Source organism: Homo sapiens, chromosome 1 (genome assembly GCF_000001405.40).
Source record: "Homo sapiens chromosome 1, GRCh38.p14 Primary Assembly".
In the NCBI taxonomy this organism is placed as follows: Eukaryota; Metazoa; Chordata; class Mammalia; order Primates; family Hominidae; genus Homo; species Homo sapiens.
This window is the reverse complement of record NC_000001.11, coordinates 24913121-24927929: the sequence shown is the minus strand read 5'-3', so window position 1 is coordinate 24927929 and position 14809 is coordinate 24913121. Positions and strand designations below refer to the sequence as shown.

The 14809-nt window shown below is 53.5% G+C and overlaps 1 protein-coding gene and 1 non-coding gene across 7 annotated transcripts in view, besides 2 other annotated features; both read left to right on the top strand.

The window, feature by feature from the left end:
• The window catches only part of RUNX3 (RUNX family transcription factor 3), a 65628-nt gene that overhangs the window by 37209 nt on the left and 13610 nt on the right, over nucleotides 1-14809 (top strand). For all 6 annotated transcript variants that reach the window (XM_005246024.5, XM_047433131.1, NM_001320672.1 and 3 more), the window contains 2 exons: nucleotides 200-356; nucleotides 8586-8690. In XM_005246024.5, coding sequence (XP_005246081.1) covers nucleotides 200-356; nucleotides 8586-8690 — 262 coding nt within the window. The remainder of the gene's footprint in view (nucleotides 1-199; nucleotides 357-8585; nucleotides 8691-14809) is intronic.
• Nucleotides 860-1129: an enhancer, noted in NCBI's record as "active region_412". NCBI's record gives its function as "activates an Ori minimal core promoter by ATAC-STARR-seq in GM12878 lymphoblastoid cells {active_cell/tissue: GM12878}" and the evidence as "EXISTENCE:reporter gene assay evidence [ECO:0000049][PMID:35858748]".
• Nucleotides 8514-8585, top strand: MIR6731 (microRNA 6731). Its single transcript, NR_106789.1, has one exon. It is a non-coding gene; the product is annotated as a microRNA 6731 (primary transcript).
• Nucleotides 12935-13450: an enhancer, noted in NCBI's record as "H3K27ac-H3K4me1 hESC enhancer chr1:25240971-25241486 (GRCh37/hg19 assembly coordinates)". NCBI's record gives its function as "activates a minimal SCP1, AML or CMV promoter by ChIP-STARR-seq in naive H9 embryonic stem cells {active_cell/tissue: H9 hESC(naive)}" and the evidence as "EXISTENCE:reporter gene assay evidence [ECO:0000049][PMID:30033119]".

Below are 14809 nucleotides of genomic sequence, written 5' to 3'. Positions count from 1 at the left end.
GATTCCATCTTCTTGTTTTCGTGATATTTGGGGGAAGGTCTTTATTGTTTTTAAGCCTCTTCTCCACCCTGCATTGGAGAAATACTCAGTGTGCCTGGGACCTGGGGGAGCTGCCCAGCCCAGCCCCTCCCCTCCTTTCCCTGGTCACCCTCTTCCTTTCTAAGCTGTCCCCCTGCATCCCCCCGCCCCGTGTCTTCAGGTGGTGGCATTGGGGGACGTGCCGGATGGTACGGTGGTGACTGTGATGGCAGGCAATGACGAGAACTACTCCGCTGAGCTGCGCAATGCCTCGGCCGTCATGAAGAACCAGGTGGCCAGGTTCAACGACCTTCGCTTCGTGGGCCGCAGTGGGCGAGGTAAGTGGAAGGGAGGCCTCGCCATTTCAGCATTGGCAATGGCAGGGGCAGCAGGGAAGGAGGTTGAAAGAGGGGCCTTAGAATCCCGAAAAACAGGTCTCCAGATGCAGCTCTGTCTAAAAACAGCAATTTGTAATCCTGTAGGATATTACAGATCGCTTTGAGGAGGTGAGGAAAGTTATGGTCTCTTGCCAGAAAAAGACAATTTTCTCCCAGTTTCTAGGGTTTACCAACTCCTGAAACCGTTCATGCCACCCCCTCTTTCCCGGTTAAGCACACCTGGTCTCACAAAAAATGCTGGCAGGAGATGGTGGATTAACAAGCTCAAAAAGGGAGCTTATAGGTCTTTCAGCAAGGCGGTTGCAGGACAAGTCCCTGATCTGTGGGGCCCAAGCACCCCAGCCACTCTCTCCATAGGGGGCAGAATATCCCCCACACTCTGAGGCTGTCTCTCCAGCTGTGGTCTCCCAGACCCAGTTTCCCAGCGCCTTTGAGCCCTAGGTGGTCTAGAACGGAAGCTAACGCAGCTGAATGTTGGAAAGCACAGCTCGAAGGCTGCCATCTCCTGCCCCAGAGTCAAGGCGGGTGTGCCACCCTGCCTGTCTGACCGACCTTGAGCAGCAGAAGGAAGGCGGGACGGGGGTGGGGGGCTGTTGAATGGGAGGCTTCTGGGACCTGAAACCCATCATCACTTAACTCCTGGATGGGAAAGTCCTGGAAACCCTGCCCCTGTGGAACGGAGGCCTGAGGGTCCACTGGCCCTTTAAGACCAGCCTGCCTACGAGAAGTGGCTGAAGTGGGAGTCGCCCTTCCCAAGCACCAGGCCCGCCTCTAGCTTTGTTAAGAAGTAAGCTGGGTTCCCTCTGCTCCCCAACTCCACAGCAGGCTGAAGTGGCTGAAGCAGAACCGTGCTTTTCATCACCAATAAACAGGACCTTCTCAAGGTTCTAGTTCCCTCTGAGCTGCCAGCCCCGCTCTGAAACAGGCATCTGGGCACCATTTTTTCCTTTCCAGCCGTTCGATGTATACATACAAATGTCAGCCATATTTTGACTTTTCAGCATTAATTAAAACCAGGACATTATTTGCATGTAATAACTGTTTACTTGTTACTTTTTATGAAACTGAAATAGTTTACATTCTTTCAAACATTTCCTGTTCCTGTTGGCTCCCTTCCCCACACACAGATTTCTTTCAAACGGTGCCCTTAACTGGTTGCAGGTTGATGGATGGAAAATGTTTGCTTTTATGAATTAAGCTTTCATTGCTGCTCCTAATTAGTCTCCAAGTCCCTTTTGTCATCCCCAATCTCTCAAACCCTTTGCGACTTAATCCCAACCCTGAGAGGACAGTCACTGGTCCTTGGTCGGTGGCAGACAAGGCTGATGAGCTCTGCTGACTGCGGGGCAGTGGCCAGGTCTGCTAGCCCAGGTATGTGTCAGGAGCACTATAGCTGCTGCCTGTTGCGAGGCGGGCAGAAGGTGCTGTCGATCTGGGAGCCCAGCAAGGCATCAGGAACTTGATTCTCCCTTCCCACTCTCTCTCCTGGGAAGCGAGAGAAAGAGAAGAGACGACGATTTTCTGAGTTACCGAGACCTTGTCTGGCCATTCTGCACACTGAGAATGATTTTTTTAGGGGTTTTCATGCCCACAGACCTTGAGCCCCCCTCCCCAGGCCTGCAGGGAGGGAAATGGGTTTCCAAGGCGTTGGTTGGGAGCTTGTCCTTGTAGCAGGAATGGCCGAGGCTGGGACTGTGGCTCTGGGAGATGCAAGAGGCTGAGTTTATAAACCATTCTCTCATCCATCTCCTCTCAGAGGTCCATAACCAGTCTCAGTGGTCCTGGGAGGCAGGAAGTGATCTGAGGAGGAGTTCCGATGTCTGAGGAACTGTGGCTAAGGCGTTCAGCCTTCAGAGGCTCGAGGTCTTTGAGAGCCTGCATTCTAGTATCAGCCACCCTGCGTTTGAGTCCCAGCTCTGCTAATGACTTGCTGGATGACATTGGGCAAATGACTTAACCACTCTGTGCCTCAGTTTCCTCATCTGTGAGATGGGGATGATAATGGTACCTACCTCATGAGATTTTGGGAAGGTTAGGGAAATTGACACAAGTGTATCAGCTGGCGCATATTGAGAGCTGGATACATGTTAGAGATTTTGTTACTTCAAATGCCTGGGACTGGAGGAGGACTTTGAGGTCCCTTTGAGCGGTGACAGCCACTGATTCTCTGATTACTGTGTGGTTTGGGCGGGGGTGGGGGAAACCCAGAAGGTGTGAACTGCTGAGTGGGAGAGGTGGAGGCGGTTGGCAGGGAGGAAGGAGGGTGCCGGGTCCGCTGGCATGCAGACACACATCTGCAGTGCCCATCCTGCTGACTGGGAAATTCCCACCTGAGAGAACAGTCAGTGGTTGACAGTGACAATCTGGGCCACTTTAGGAGATGGGACACTTTGGGAGTTAAGACTGGGGGTTGGGACCCAGAACCCTTGCCTGGGTCTCTTGACTTCTGCCAGAACTAAGAAGTCTGATGGAAACCTCTGCTTGTTGCCTCAATTTTTAGTTCTACATTCTGTCTGAATTCCAGGAAGATGGCTTTCCATGAAAGACACGCACCCAGTAACACCACAGAGCTCTTAACAACAGGGCTGAAGGTGTGAACCAAGAAAAGGAAGGGAGGAAAACCAGGTCATTGCTGTCTCCTGCAGTGATTAGGGCTGAGGTCCCTGCCCTGCCAGACACGAGGAGCCTTTCTTACAATACATATTTTATATCAAGCCTTACTATTCTACGTTGAAATGTATAAATAATGAAACCTACCTATTTACATGCAGTTGCAAACTATGTTATTCCATAGCTATGATGGAGAAAAAAAGGGAAAGTAATTTATAATAAAACACTGATTTGAATATGTAAACGTTGGGGCCACAGGACTCCATGAGGTGGACGAATGCCCTCCATGCAGAAGCCCACAGCAGAGGGAACAGGCAGGGTGGCAGGGCTCAATCTGAACCTGGCCTTGCTGCCAATACCATGACTTTCTGAAGTTGTCAACACCTGTTGGCAAAGCGCTGAACAAAATTAAAAAAAAAAAAAGAACTGTCTTTCCTTCTGGAAAATTCAGTAGATATTAAAAGTACAAAAAAAACCCTTGTTTTATGTAAAACTGAGTTAGGTTCATGACTCAGATAATTTTTTTTTCTTTTACTTTTTTTTGGGACAAGGTCTCGCTCTGTCGCCCAGGCCAGGGTGCAGTGGTGCGATCACTGCAGTCTCAACCTCCTGGTCTCAAGCAGTCCTCCCACCTCAATAGCTGGGACTATAGGCATGCGCCACCATGCTCAGCTGATTTTTTAAAATTATTTGTTGTAGAGATGGGGGTGTTGTTCACTGTGTTGCTCAGGCTGGTCTTGAACTCCTGGACTCAAGCGATCCTCCTGCCTCAGCCTCTCAAAGTGTTGGGATTACAGGCATGAGCCACTGCGACCAGCCAGAGAACTTTTATAAGCAAGTTTTTCCCTCCCAGGAAGAATTGAATCTTCACCACCCTGGGCAGCGTTGGGTGCTGGCATCCCCCACCACATACACGCACCCCACCCCTAACGCTGGCAGTGCCACCCCAACACTATGTTGACCACACGCCACCACAAATCCCAAAAATGCCCCTCTAGCAGGCGGCCACTGGCCTAAGTGAAAATGAAAAGCACATGAGCTCTCGAGCTGTGATCAACTGGTTAAAAAGCAACTGTGTGTCGACAGAGATTCGGGGTGCAGTGTGCCGGTGCAGGCTGAGGGGAACCGCTGGTTGGGGGAGAGATGAATGGCTTCTTGGCTGAAGCTGAGAAAACCCCGAGGTCCCCTGAGACTGAGACACGTCCCCTCCCCCCACCCATGCAGCTCCTGTGGGTGGGGCGGGGACCTTATACACATAGGAACCCAGGCAGAGAATGCTCAAGGACTTGCCTGAGGCCCTGCTGCCACCCCGGCTGGTTGATGATGGGTCCTGGAGGAGTTTCTGGAGCCCTAAAGGAAACCCATTTCCCAGACCAAGACTTCTCCCCTGCAACCAGGGCCAGCCCTCAGAGAGCCTGGGTTTACACTTCCTGGGCTCCTGATGGATTGCAGGTTTGCCTGGGACTCCTGCACAGAGTTATATCTAGAGGCTGAGAGAGAGGGATGGATGGGTTTGCCACTGCCAGGCAGAGAGAGAGCTGGGCAGGGCCGGGGTAGCTGAGGGGCACTCAGGGAGACAGCTTTCTCCCACCCCTGCTCCCCAGGCTCCCTGTCTCCCGAGGTCCAGGACTCCTGCCCCTCCCTCTCACTCCTCCTCTTAGGCCCCACACTCCTCTCCTTTGTACCTGGGAGGGGTGGTGACAGGCGTGGAAGCTGGTGGAAGCGGCCGAGGAGTGCTGGTGACCTCAGGGGTGGCATGTGGTTTGCTACCTGGTATGGGTGGGGGCTTCTCACTTCTCAGGAGCGGGACGTTAGTACCTGTGTGCAAAATGGGAGCCATTATCTCTGCCCTTAATTTATTTAACAAATGTTGTTGAGCACCTACTCTGTGCCGGATGCCGTCCTAGGGGCTGGAGACACTGCATGAACAAGACAAAAACTTGGGCCCCTGGGGAGGTTATAATCTAGTAGAAGGAGACAAAATGAGTAGATGGATTATTAAAAGCATATGCATTGTGAGAAAATTCCAGCAGGTGCAGGGAATAGAGAAAGGGAGTGGTAGGGCCTGTGATACTTCAGGTTGAGCTGCTTAGCGCTTTTTTTTTTTTTTTTTTTTTTTTTGCCCTGTGGGCCCCTCTGATAGCTGGTGAAGCCCGCACACCTTTCTCAGAACAATGATATTTTTAAGGTATAAAATCAAATACAAAGTATTACAATAGAAACCATTTCTATTAAAACATAGCAAAATACTTTAAAAATTGTGGTAAATGTGCTGCTTTATTCAATGTATTAAATAAGATCTAGCATTGGGCCTAATGACAACCATGGTTTTGAAGTTGTGATGAGCATAAAAGATATTTAGAGCAATCTGCAGCAACTGTAATGTGATATGTAAGTATCTGTGACGTCTGTTGGTGACAAGGTCACAGGTACGGCTGATAATACCTCTGTGGTTTGTTGCCTACGCTCGTACTTGAGAGTGATGCTAAATTTCAGTTAGAGGTTAGGGACAATACAATTGTAATTTTTTCCTACCCTAGTTCTCAGGCTCATTCAACTCTACGGAGCCAAGTTAAAAATGCCTTCCAGGTGTAGTGGTTTACGACTGTAATCCCAACACTTTGGGAGGCCAAGGCAGGAGGATCACTTGAGCCCAGGAGTTCAAGACCAGCCTGGGCACATAGTAAAAGCTTGAAAAAAAAAAAAAAGAAAGAAAGGAAAGAAAGAAAAGAAAGGAAAGGAAGGAAGGAAGGGAGGGAAGGAAAAGAAGGAAGGGAAAAAAAGAAATAGCCGGGCATGGTGGCGCTCACCTGTTGTCCCAGCTACTCAGGAGGCTGAGACAGGAGGATCACTTGAGCCCGGGAGGTCCAGGCTGCAGTGAGCTATGATCATGCCACTGCACTCCAACCTGGGTGACAGAGCAAGACCTTGTCTCAAAAAAATTAATTAAAATTAAAAATGCCTACTTCAGATAAAGTGACCAGGGAAGGCCTGACTGAGAAGGTGGGCGACCTGAAGGAGGGTTTTAGTAAGCTTTCAAATGCTGCTGTGGGCCCGGGGCCCTGTGGCAGGGCACTGGGACCCATTAGTCCTCCGTGTCTCCAGTCTGGCCCCTAGGGCTCTGGGCTGTCTGCCTAAACTCCCCGTCATAACCAAGAAGGTGCTGGACAATGCTGGCAGGGTCAGAGGCTCAGGGACCCCAGGAGAGTGCTGGGCTGGTTGGAGGAGAAAGAGGTCCAGCAGAGAAATGACCTCAGAGTGAGGAAAGGCAGTAGGAGGGGTCGGGCAGGGAGCCCGAGGCATCTGCCTGGCACTTCCCTAGACCATCTGCACTTCTGCTTCCAGAAATCATACAAAGTGGCCCCTGTGACCTGAGAGTGGGAGACCAGGTCTGTTCTGACCTGGGGCTCCGGGGGCAAGTGCAGTCAGAATTTCTATCCCTGCCTCAGCCGACTGGCTTAGGAAAAGGCTTCCAGAGAAGCCCCTCATTTCCCAGCTGGAGTGACACTCAGTGGGTCTTGAGCTTTAAATTCCCCCTGGTGTCTCAGAGGGCCTTGGGTCCTGTGGCATGGCTCCTGGCAGCCTGGCTGGTTTAATTTTGTTCCGGATTCTCCTGCCTCTGGGGCTAGAATTTTCACTTGATCAGTTGACTAACAAGTACCCGGCCATGCAAAGAGAACTGTGAGATACTGGTCTCCACCCTGAGCTTCATCTCCCACCTGCAACGTGGGGCTGTTGAAACCTACCTGCTCACTTTGGAGGCGTGTCAGGGGGACACCAGAGGGATGCGCTTGGGCAGCCTCTCTCCTTGACCATCCTGTGCCAGCCCTGGGGTACAGGTGAGAGTGCGAGACCATTGGCCCCTACCCACAGGGAGTTCCCAGGCCTGTACGTGGGATCCAGAGGCAGGGATAGGGGGATAAAGTCTGGCTTGGGGGATCCGCAAATCTCCCCCGCTCCCGGCCACCAATCTCATAAAGCATGAGGCTGTGGATCGTAATAGAGAATAGGGTGAGAGGAGGACTCTTACCCAGACCCCCAAACTCCCAGACACATCAGAGAATTCACTGTAGAAAGTAGAGAGAAGACTGTCGAAAGTAAATCTTCATAAACTGCTTTCTACACGGAGAAACCCGTCTGAACATAAAACGATAGAAGAACGAGAAATAGAAGTGAAAATGAAAAACCACCCAGCGTGTGAAGGCAAAATGTGCAGGCCTGTGCCCGGGGAAACTGATGGCCACAAATACAGCATGGAAAGTATTAACAAGCTTAATATATAGCAATTTTTAAAAGGCACTAAAACCTTCACAGGAAAGTAAAAGAACATGAAGCAGTAATTTGTGTTGGATTATGATGGATAATAATCATATAAAAAGTTTCATTCTCACTAGTAATAGAAAAAAAGGCAAACAAAATCAAGAGCGTGTAAAAGATCTTCCATCTTGATAGACACATCCCTGGGGTGTGACGCAGCCTCACACGCGAGGGTGACGACTAAATCTCTCCGGAGAGTCATCTCACTCCAAGAGGGATCCGCGCCCGTAATATGTCCCAACCCTCTGCTGCCGTGAAATCACTCACCGCTTCTTGGAATCTCTTCTAAGGAAATAAGCAGAGATGCAGACAAAGATTTTTATAAACAGAAGGTCACTTTCATTTTATTTTAAATGGTAAAAAAAAAAAAAAGTAGTATTTTAAAAGTTTTTTCCCCTCTCAGGAATTTTGAATGGAGACTTTGGAGCCAAATGTCTATCTAAAAATAGAACATTCTGGAAATAACAGTTGTGTCTACAGAAGAAATGTCTGCAGCTCCCAAATCAGTCCTTTTTCAGCTCCAGCTGCACACATCAATAAGAAATTAGCAACGATGTAAATACCCGAGAGTAAGGAGGTAGATAAATAAAAGATGAGGAGGCTTCCTTGAGTTGAAATATTTTGCAGCCATTAAAAACGAAGTTTATGGAGTTTTAATGACGTGGGAAAGTGCTTCTGATGTGAGGTTAAATGAAAAAAAAAACAGTATGAAAATCTGTATTTTAGTACCACTGCGACTGTGTAAATATACAAACCCATACAAAAAGAGCTGAAAGGGAAAACACCAAATGGTAACGGTGTCTATCTCCAGCTAGTGGAACCGTGGGGGGGGGGTGTCTTTTCTTCTTTATTTATATTTTGTATGTTCTTGAATTTTTCTACAAAGATCACCAATTACTTTCAGAAAATAGAATATACCCATCCTGCTCCCCACCACAAAATCGTGTGGGTCTCTGAATAGAAGAGACAGCAGAAAGGCCAAGAAGAGGGGAACATGAGCCAGGGTGGTCACGGCATGGGGCGGGGGGTTGACAAAGTTGGCGTCAGACCCCCAGGGGCCTTGAATGCCAAGCCCAAGAGCTTGAACTTCACCCAGAGCCCTATCTTCTGCCCATGTTCAAAGAGGACAGAGTGCCCCTTCTTGACAGTTAGGGGCTTCCAGGGGTAGATACAGGTGGGAGAGCAGGGTATTGTGGAAGCTCCAGGTGCCAACCACCTGCCTCTATTCCCCACTCTCCCCAGGGAAGAGTTTCACCCTGACCATCACTGTGTTCACCAACCCCACCCAAGTGGCGACCTACCACCGAGCCATCAAGGTGACCGTGGACGGACCCCGGGAGCCCAGACGTAAGTGCCACCGAGCCCCCTGAGCCCCTGCGCGGGGGAGGAGGGTCCAGTGCGGGAAGGACAGCAGCTAGGTCAGACAGATGGAGCCCTCCTCGGGGGGTTGCAGTCCTTGGCTCTGTGCCCCCACACACTGCGTGCCTGCTGGCAAACCCCTAAACCCTCTGGGCTTAGCCTGAGACCGTGGGAGGCCAGCGAGGAGGCTGGGAGTGGAGATGACTGTCCATGGAGACTACTGAGGGAGTCAAGGAAAGGAAAAGGATGGAGAAAGCTTTCAGATATGGCATTTGTCGGGTGCTTGTGTGTTTCTGGGTGGAGGTTGAGCCAGGCTTGCTTTACTCTGCCCCCAGCTTCTCTGCGGGTGGCTGAGGGATGCATGGAGGGCAGGAGTGATCAAAAGTCAGGGGCTGGTCTGGCTGTGAGGCCAGGCCTCTTCCTTGGAAACTGAGTCTTTGAATCTTAGCATGTGACTTGCTCAGGTCACCCAGAGTCCGGGCACCCAGACCCTATGAGCAGGGAGTTCTGGTCCATCAAAGCGAGTTTGTGTTTAATTCTCTCTGCTTGCTGAAGGTCAGATTAAGGCTGGGGAAGTGGGAGGGTAGGCTGAGGCTCTGTGTCCACAGAATGAATGAATGACTGACTGACTGACTGACTGAATGAATGAATGAATGAATGAAATAGAGCCAGCCAGCTTCCTGAGCTCCATCCCACCTCCCCAAGGCATTTTCAGCTTGGTGCACTGAAGGTTGGCCCACCCCTCTCTTTCTCAGAAATGTGACCCTTTGTAGTTTAGAAGACCTTTTAGCAGTCACTATTGAATGGGATCTTGATGACAGCAGAGCCAGAGGGGTCACCCAAGTTCCAGTGAGGAGAGAATCCAGGCCTGAGGGAGTTGGGTACCTGAATAGGACCTAATGCTGTGCAAGGAGCAGGAAGGCGCCCCAGGCTTCAGTCTTCCCAGAGGCAAGATTCTAGGCTGAGCAGGCCTGGGGCAGGAGGCCTGGGGCAGGAGGCCTAGCCCTGGGCTGGCCCCTCCCTTCTTGGGAGTCAGCTGGGCCTGACACCCCATCATCCAATTCCTGGGCCCATCCCAGCATCTGGCCACTTGGGAAAGGCTTGGAGCTGAGTCCAGCAGCCCTGGAAGAGTTTCCCTCCAGGGCTCTCAGGGTCACCTCTGCCAGCCCTGAGCCCCGGCACGCATCCTCAGGCCTGCACCGTCAGCTCCCAGCCAGCACTTGCCCTGGCCACACTCCTGCTGGTTCCCTCCTGCTGAGATCAGACATAGACCAGCCCATGCCCTTGGCCTTGGGCTTCATGACCCTAGGCAAGTCATGTCTTCTTTGTGGCCTCAGTTTTGTCATCTGAGAACTGGATCAGTGACTCCAGGAGTCTCAAGGTGGTGATGGCTGGGAAGCCCTCATGAGCCATAGACCACCATGGTGTAGAGAGCAGTTTCCAAGCCAGCCTTCCTGGCTGTGGGTCCTTGGGCTAGTCATCTCCGTGCCTCAGTTTCCTGAACTGAAAAATGATATTCGCACAAGCAGCTACCTCATGATGCTATTGCGAGGAAACAGTGGCTTAATCTATAGAAAGCACTTAGCGGTGGGGGTTAGCAAGGGATCCGTCACTTTAGCCAGGGCTGTTATCTGCAGTGTGACCTAGGGCAAGTCACTGACCTCTCTGGGCCTCAGCTCCCTCCTCCATGAAGTGTGATGATGCCACCCACCCTGCGGACCTGGAGATCAGGGGCGACATGTGGACAGCACGTGGCCGTAGCACAGAGGGGTCCCATGAGTCACTGGGTCCGCAGCGTTTTGTCGTCCTCAGTACCCAGCCCCCTTCCTGCACTCCCACCACCACCATTAGTCAACGGTGAGCTCTCTCATGGGCAGCAGCTGGGTGGCTGCCTTGGTAATAGAGGTGCAGGTATCAAGTCTCCATTGAAGGAGGTGGCAGCCCTGCCCTATGTCTCCAGGGGCAGGGTCAGCATGGACAGGAGCCTCAGTTGGGCTCTGGGTGGGGATGCGGCACTCAGAAGCCACTCCAGAAAGAGGGGAGCCACTCCAGAAAGAGGGAGGCACGGGACGGGGTCTTGACGCTTGGTGGGAAGATCCAAGGGACCGGGCAAGGTTGGCCCCTCTGAGAGCCCTCCATGCTCAGCCCAGCCCACCCCAGAGCCGCCCACTCTGCCCTGCTGGGACCCCTGGATGAGCATGGAGACTCAGCCCTGCCTGTGGGAGATTCCAGCAGAATCCCCTGCCTGCTCTTCCCTGCCTGGGTCTCCCAGACCTGAGATGGCCCCTTCTGGGGTGAGCTGGAAGGTAAATGCGTGGCTCAGGACGAGGCAACAAGAGGGAGGGACAGAGGCTGGGCCTGGAGACCCACGGCGTCAGAAGCCAGGCTTGCTGCACCACCTGAGACAGGTGACCTCCCTCTCTGGGCCCCGGCAGCGGCTGGATCAGTGGTTTTATTTACAGAACAGAGCAGAGATGGAGTCGGGGGGCAGTCTACTAGGTCCCCCATCCTTAGGACCTGCCTGTTCCTGTCCCTGGCATATCCTGGCCCTGAGATCAGGTCCCCCCCCATACCCTGGGTTGCAGCCCCACTCCTTTGTCTTTGGCCCTGGACAAATCCTTGGCCTTTCGGGTCCTCAGCGTCCCCATCTGTAAGAGTGAAGGGACCAGCTCAGCGGCTCCTGGTCACTGAGCAACCCCCTCCCTTGCGTCAGGCCCTGTGCAAAGTCCCCAGTAACTGATCTCTTGGGCAACCCCAGGAGAGGATAGAGGCCAGGGCGCAAAACCTTTTGCCCAAGGTGACTGTCAGCACACCCTGGGGGCTCCGACCCGGGGGCTGCGGGAAGTGAGGGCCACTTGGAAGGGCCTTTTCACCTCAGTGTGCTCAGCTGTCAAATGGATGGTATTGGTGTCTGCCTAGGGGAGTCGCTGTGAAGGTTGACTGAGTTTACCGGGGCCTGGCCCCAGGAAGTGCCCCCACAACCTTCACAGGTTGTTACAGGCCTTTTGTGCTCCTGGACTTCCTTTCCCGGCTTTTTTCCTGTTTTGCCACCTCCGACCCTCTGAAATCTGAGCCCGCTGTGGGGTGAAGTGGGAGTAGGGGCTGGTCCTGGGAGCCAAGGACTGGGAATCTGTAGATCCCTGAGGCCGGCTGTGGGTTCTGTGGCCGGGTCGTTCCCCTCTGGTGCCCTGCAGAGCGTGCCCGGCCTGCAGCCAGGTGGCCAGCTGGGTTTGAAGGCTGGCTTGGTGGCTTCCTGCCTGTGTGGCCTCGGTTTCTGAGGTTCTCAGTGCTGGTGTCCCTCAGAGTCACTGGGGGCTGGTTAAGAAGCAGGTTGCTGAGCCAGGTCCAGGATCCCAGCAGGAGGGGCGGTGACACCTGGCAAGTCTGGCATGGACCACGGTGGGGGAAAGGCCCTCACGCCCCCCTAGCCTGTGCCCGTTACCCCCTGCCCTCCCTCCCACATCCTGCTCTGGCCACCCTGGTATCCTGGCTGGTCTTTGAACTTGCCAGGGACACTCCTGCCTCGGGGGCCTTTGCACTGCTCTTTTTTCTATCTGGAACACTCCTCCCCGGACACCCCCAGATGCATGGCACACTCCTTCACACCCTAAAGCCTCTGCACTTCTCAGCAGCCCGCCTGTTTCAAGTGGCACACACACAGCCTTCCTCACCTCTCCCCCTTTTCCTTCCTGGCTTTAAGGTTACCCCGAGCACTTACCACTACCACCTTCTAAGGTGCTATCTAGTCCGATAGTTTGTTTCATTTGTTATTCATTTCTCCCATTTTGTTTTGTTTTGTTTTTTGAGATGGAGTCTTGCTCTGTTGCCCAGGCTGGAGTGCAGTGGCAAGATCTCGGCTCACAGCAACCTCCGCCTCCCAGGTTCAGGAGATTCTCTTGCCTCAGCCTCCCTAGGAGCTGGGATTACAGGCACACGCCACCACACCCAGCTAATTTTTGTATTTTTAATAGAGACAGGGTTTCACCATGTTGGCCAGGCTAGTCTTGAACTCCCGACCTCAAGTGATCCGCCCACCTCAGCCTCCCAAAGTGCTGGGACTACAGGCGTGAGCCACCGCACCCGGCCCCCTGTTGTTTATGCTCTACAAGGGCAGAGTTCTTTGCTCTGGTTTGCCAGGCCCTGGTATAGCTAGACCCTGAGAATGTGGGCAGGAGCCCTTCACAGCTGCTCCATAAATCGTTGATGAATAAGCAAATGATTCATTAATGTCATTTCGGGTAGTAGGAAGTCCTATGAAGAAAAACAAAGCTGGGAGAAGGAGTGGAGCGTGCAAGGGATGGAACAAGGGATGGGGCGGGGAGGCCTCCTGAAGAGGTGACCTTTGAGCAGGGGCCTGAAGTGAGCAGCCAGCAGAGTGTGGCTGCCGAGGGTTTGGCGTGGGCAGGAGAAGTGACCCTGAGCCCGCAGTTGGGCCTTTGAAGGCCTTAGAGTTTCTGTAGTTTCTTCCTGGGCTGAGGAGAGGCAGCTGCTCCAGGTCCCTGGCTCCCAAGATCCCCACAACCCCCAGGAGTGTCTCCTGCGCTAGGGGCAGGGCTAGCGGAGTCTGCCCAGCAGGAGGGAAGGGGTTAACCACAGACCTCCTGGGTTCTCCTAATCAACCCCAGGCCTCTGGAAGCCCCACTTGCAGCCCTGGGAGGGAACCGCTCGCCTCCCTGCCCGCTGGCCCCCGGCCAGCCCGTTTCCCTGCCCAGCCACCGACCCGGCTTTCATCTGCTCACAGGGGGCCGATTCACAGCAGACCACCCCAGGCCCGGCACCCGCCTGCGATTCCGCGAGGCTGTTAAGAGTCGGGTGTAAATCTCCTGACAGGCCGCAGAGCCGGCCTCGGGCCCGGCGCCCCACCCTGCTGCTGGGTAGACAGTGGCTGCTGTGTCTGGGTCACAGCCGCACCAGGCGGCCAAGAAGGCTGCCGAGTGGCTTCAGATGGGTGACGGGCCTGGTCATTGGAGCCCACACTGTCCCCAGCAGACGATGCTGTTCCTGTGGCCCTGCCCGACTCTGCTTTTCCCAAGAGGCTGAACACTGAGCTGGCCTCTTGCCAGCTGGACCTTACGGCCAGGTGACCCAGCTCTTCTCTCATGGAGGTCTTGGGAAGCGATGACCTTAGCAGCTGAGCTCCATGTGTGACCTTTCCAGGTTTGAATCTCAGGGGTGCCACACACCGTGTGACCTTGACCGTGTGCCTCCACTTTTCCATCTGTAAAACGGGGGTGATAGTCACAGCCTGTCAGAGGGATATGACCCTTGGAGACGACATGCATGGCCCCCCTTGCACAGTGCCCGGCACATCATGGATGCCTGCTAAAATGGTTGCCACTCCTATGACAGGGGCTTGTGTTGGGCCTGCATGGAGGCAAGGGGGTAACCCTGATGGTCTCTTGGTTCCCCCAGAAGCATCAGGTACCTGGCGGGGGTAGGACCCCAGGCTGGCCAGGCTGGTGGTGGGGAAGGATTCCCTGGGGACAGTGGTAAAGGAGCTGCCAACCCAGAATCCAGCCCTGGTCCTCTAGCTCCCACACTGCGTGACCCTGGTGAGTCCCCAGACTGGCTGGGGCCCAGCATTCCTGCTCCCACTTTGGCCTTTATCATATGCCTGTGAGGTGGGTCACCCCCACTGCACAGACGCATCAGAGAGGAGCTGTTTGCCTAGGAGCAGATGGCCAAGTCAGAATGGGAACCCAGAACACCTTCCTCAAAGGCCAAGGCCTGGTGGGCTGTGTAATTCTTGAAACCTTTCCTGACCCTCGGGGGTTAGAGGTGTGATCCCCATTTTGCAGATAAGACAGCTGAGGCCCAGAAGGCAAGAGTGGCTTGCCCAAGACAGTGACCACTGGTGGGTGAGAGCTGCCTGGTATGAGCTTGGGGCCACTGGGCCCTTGGGAGGGGCAGGCTGGGATCTGCCCTCCCATAAGTGAGGGTCATAGACACTAATCCAGGCCATGCTGGAGGAGCTGTCTGATCTGAGCCCAGCAGCTGGAGGCTGACAGCAGCCAGGACAGGCCCTGAGGGCCAACGCGGGGCTTTCCCCAGCCATCTCAGTCCTCTGCTTTTAAAAGCATGTGGCCTGTCCTCCAGCTCATCGGCAC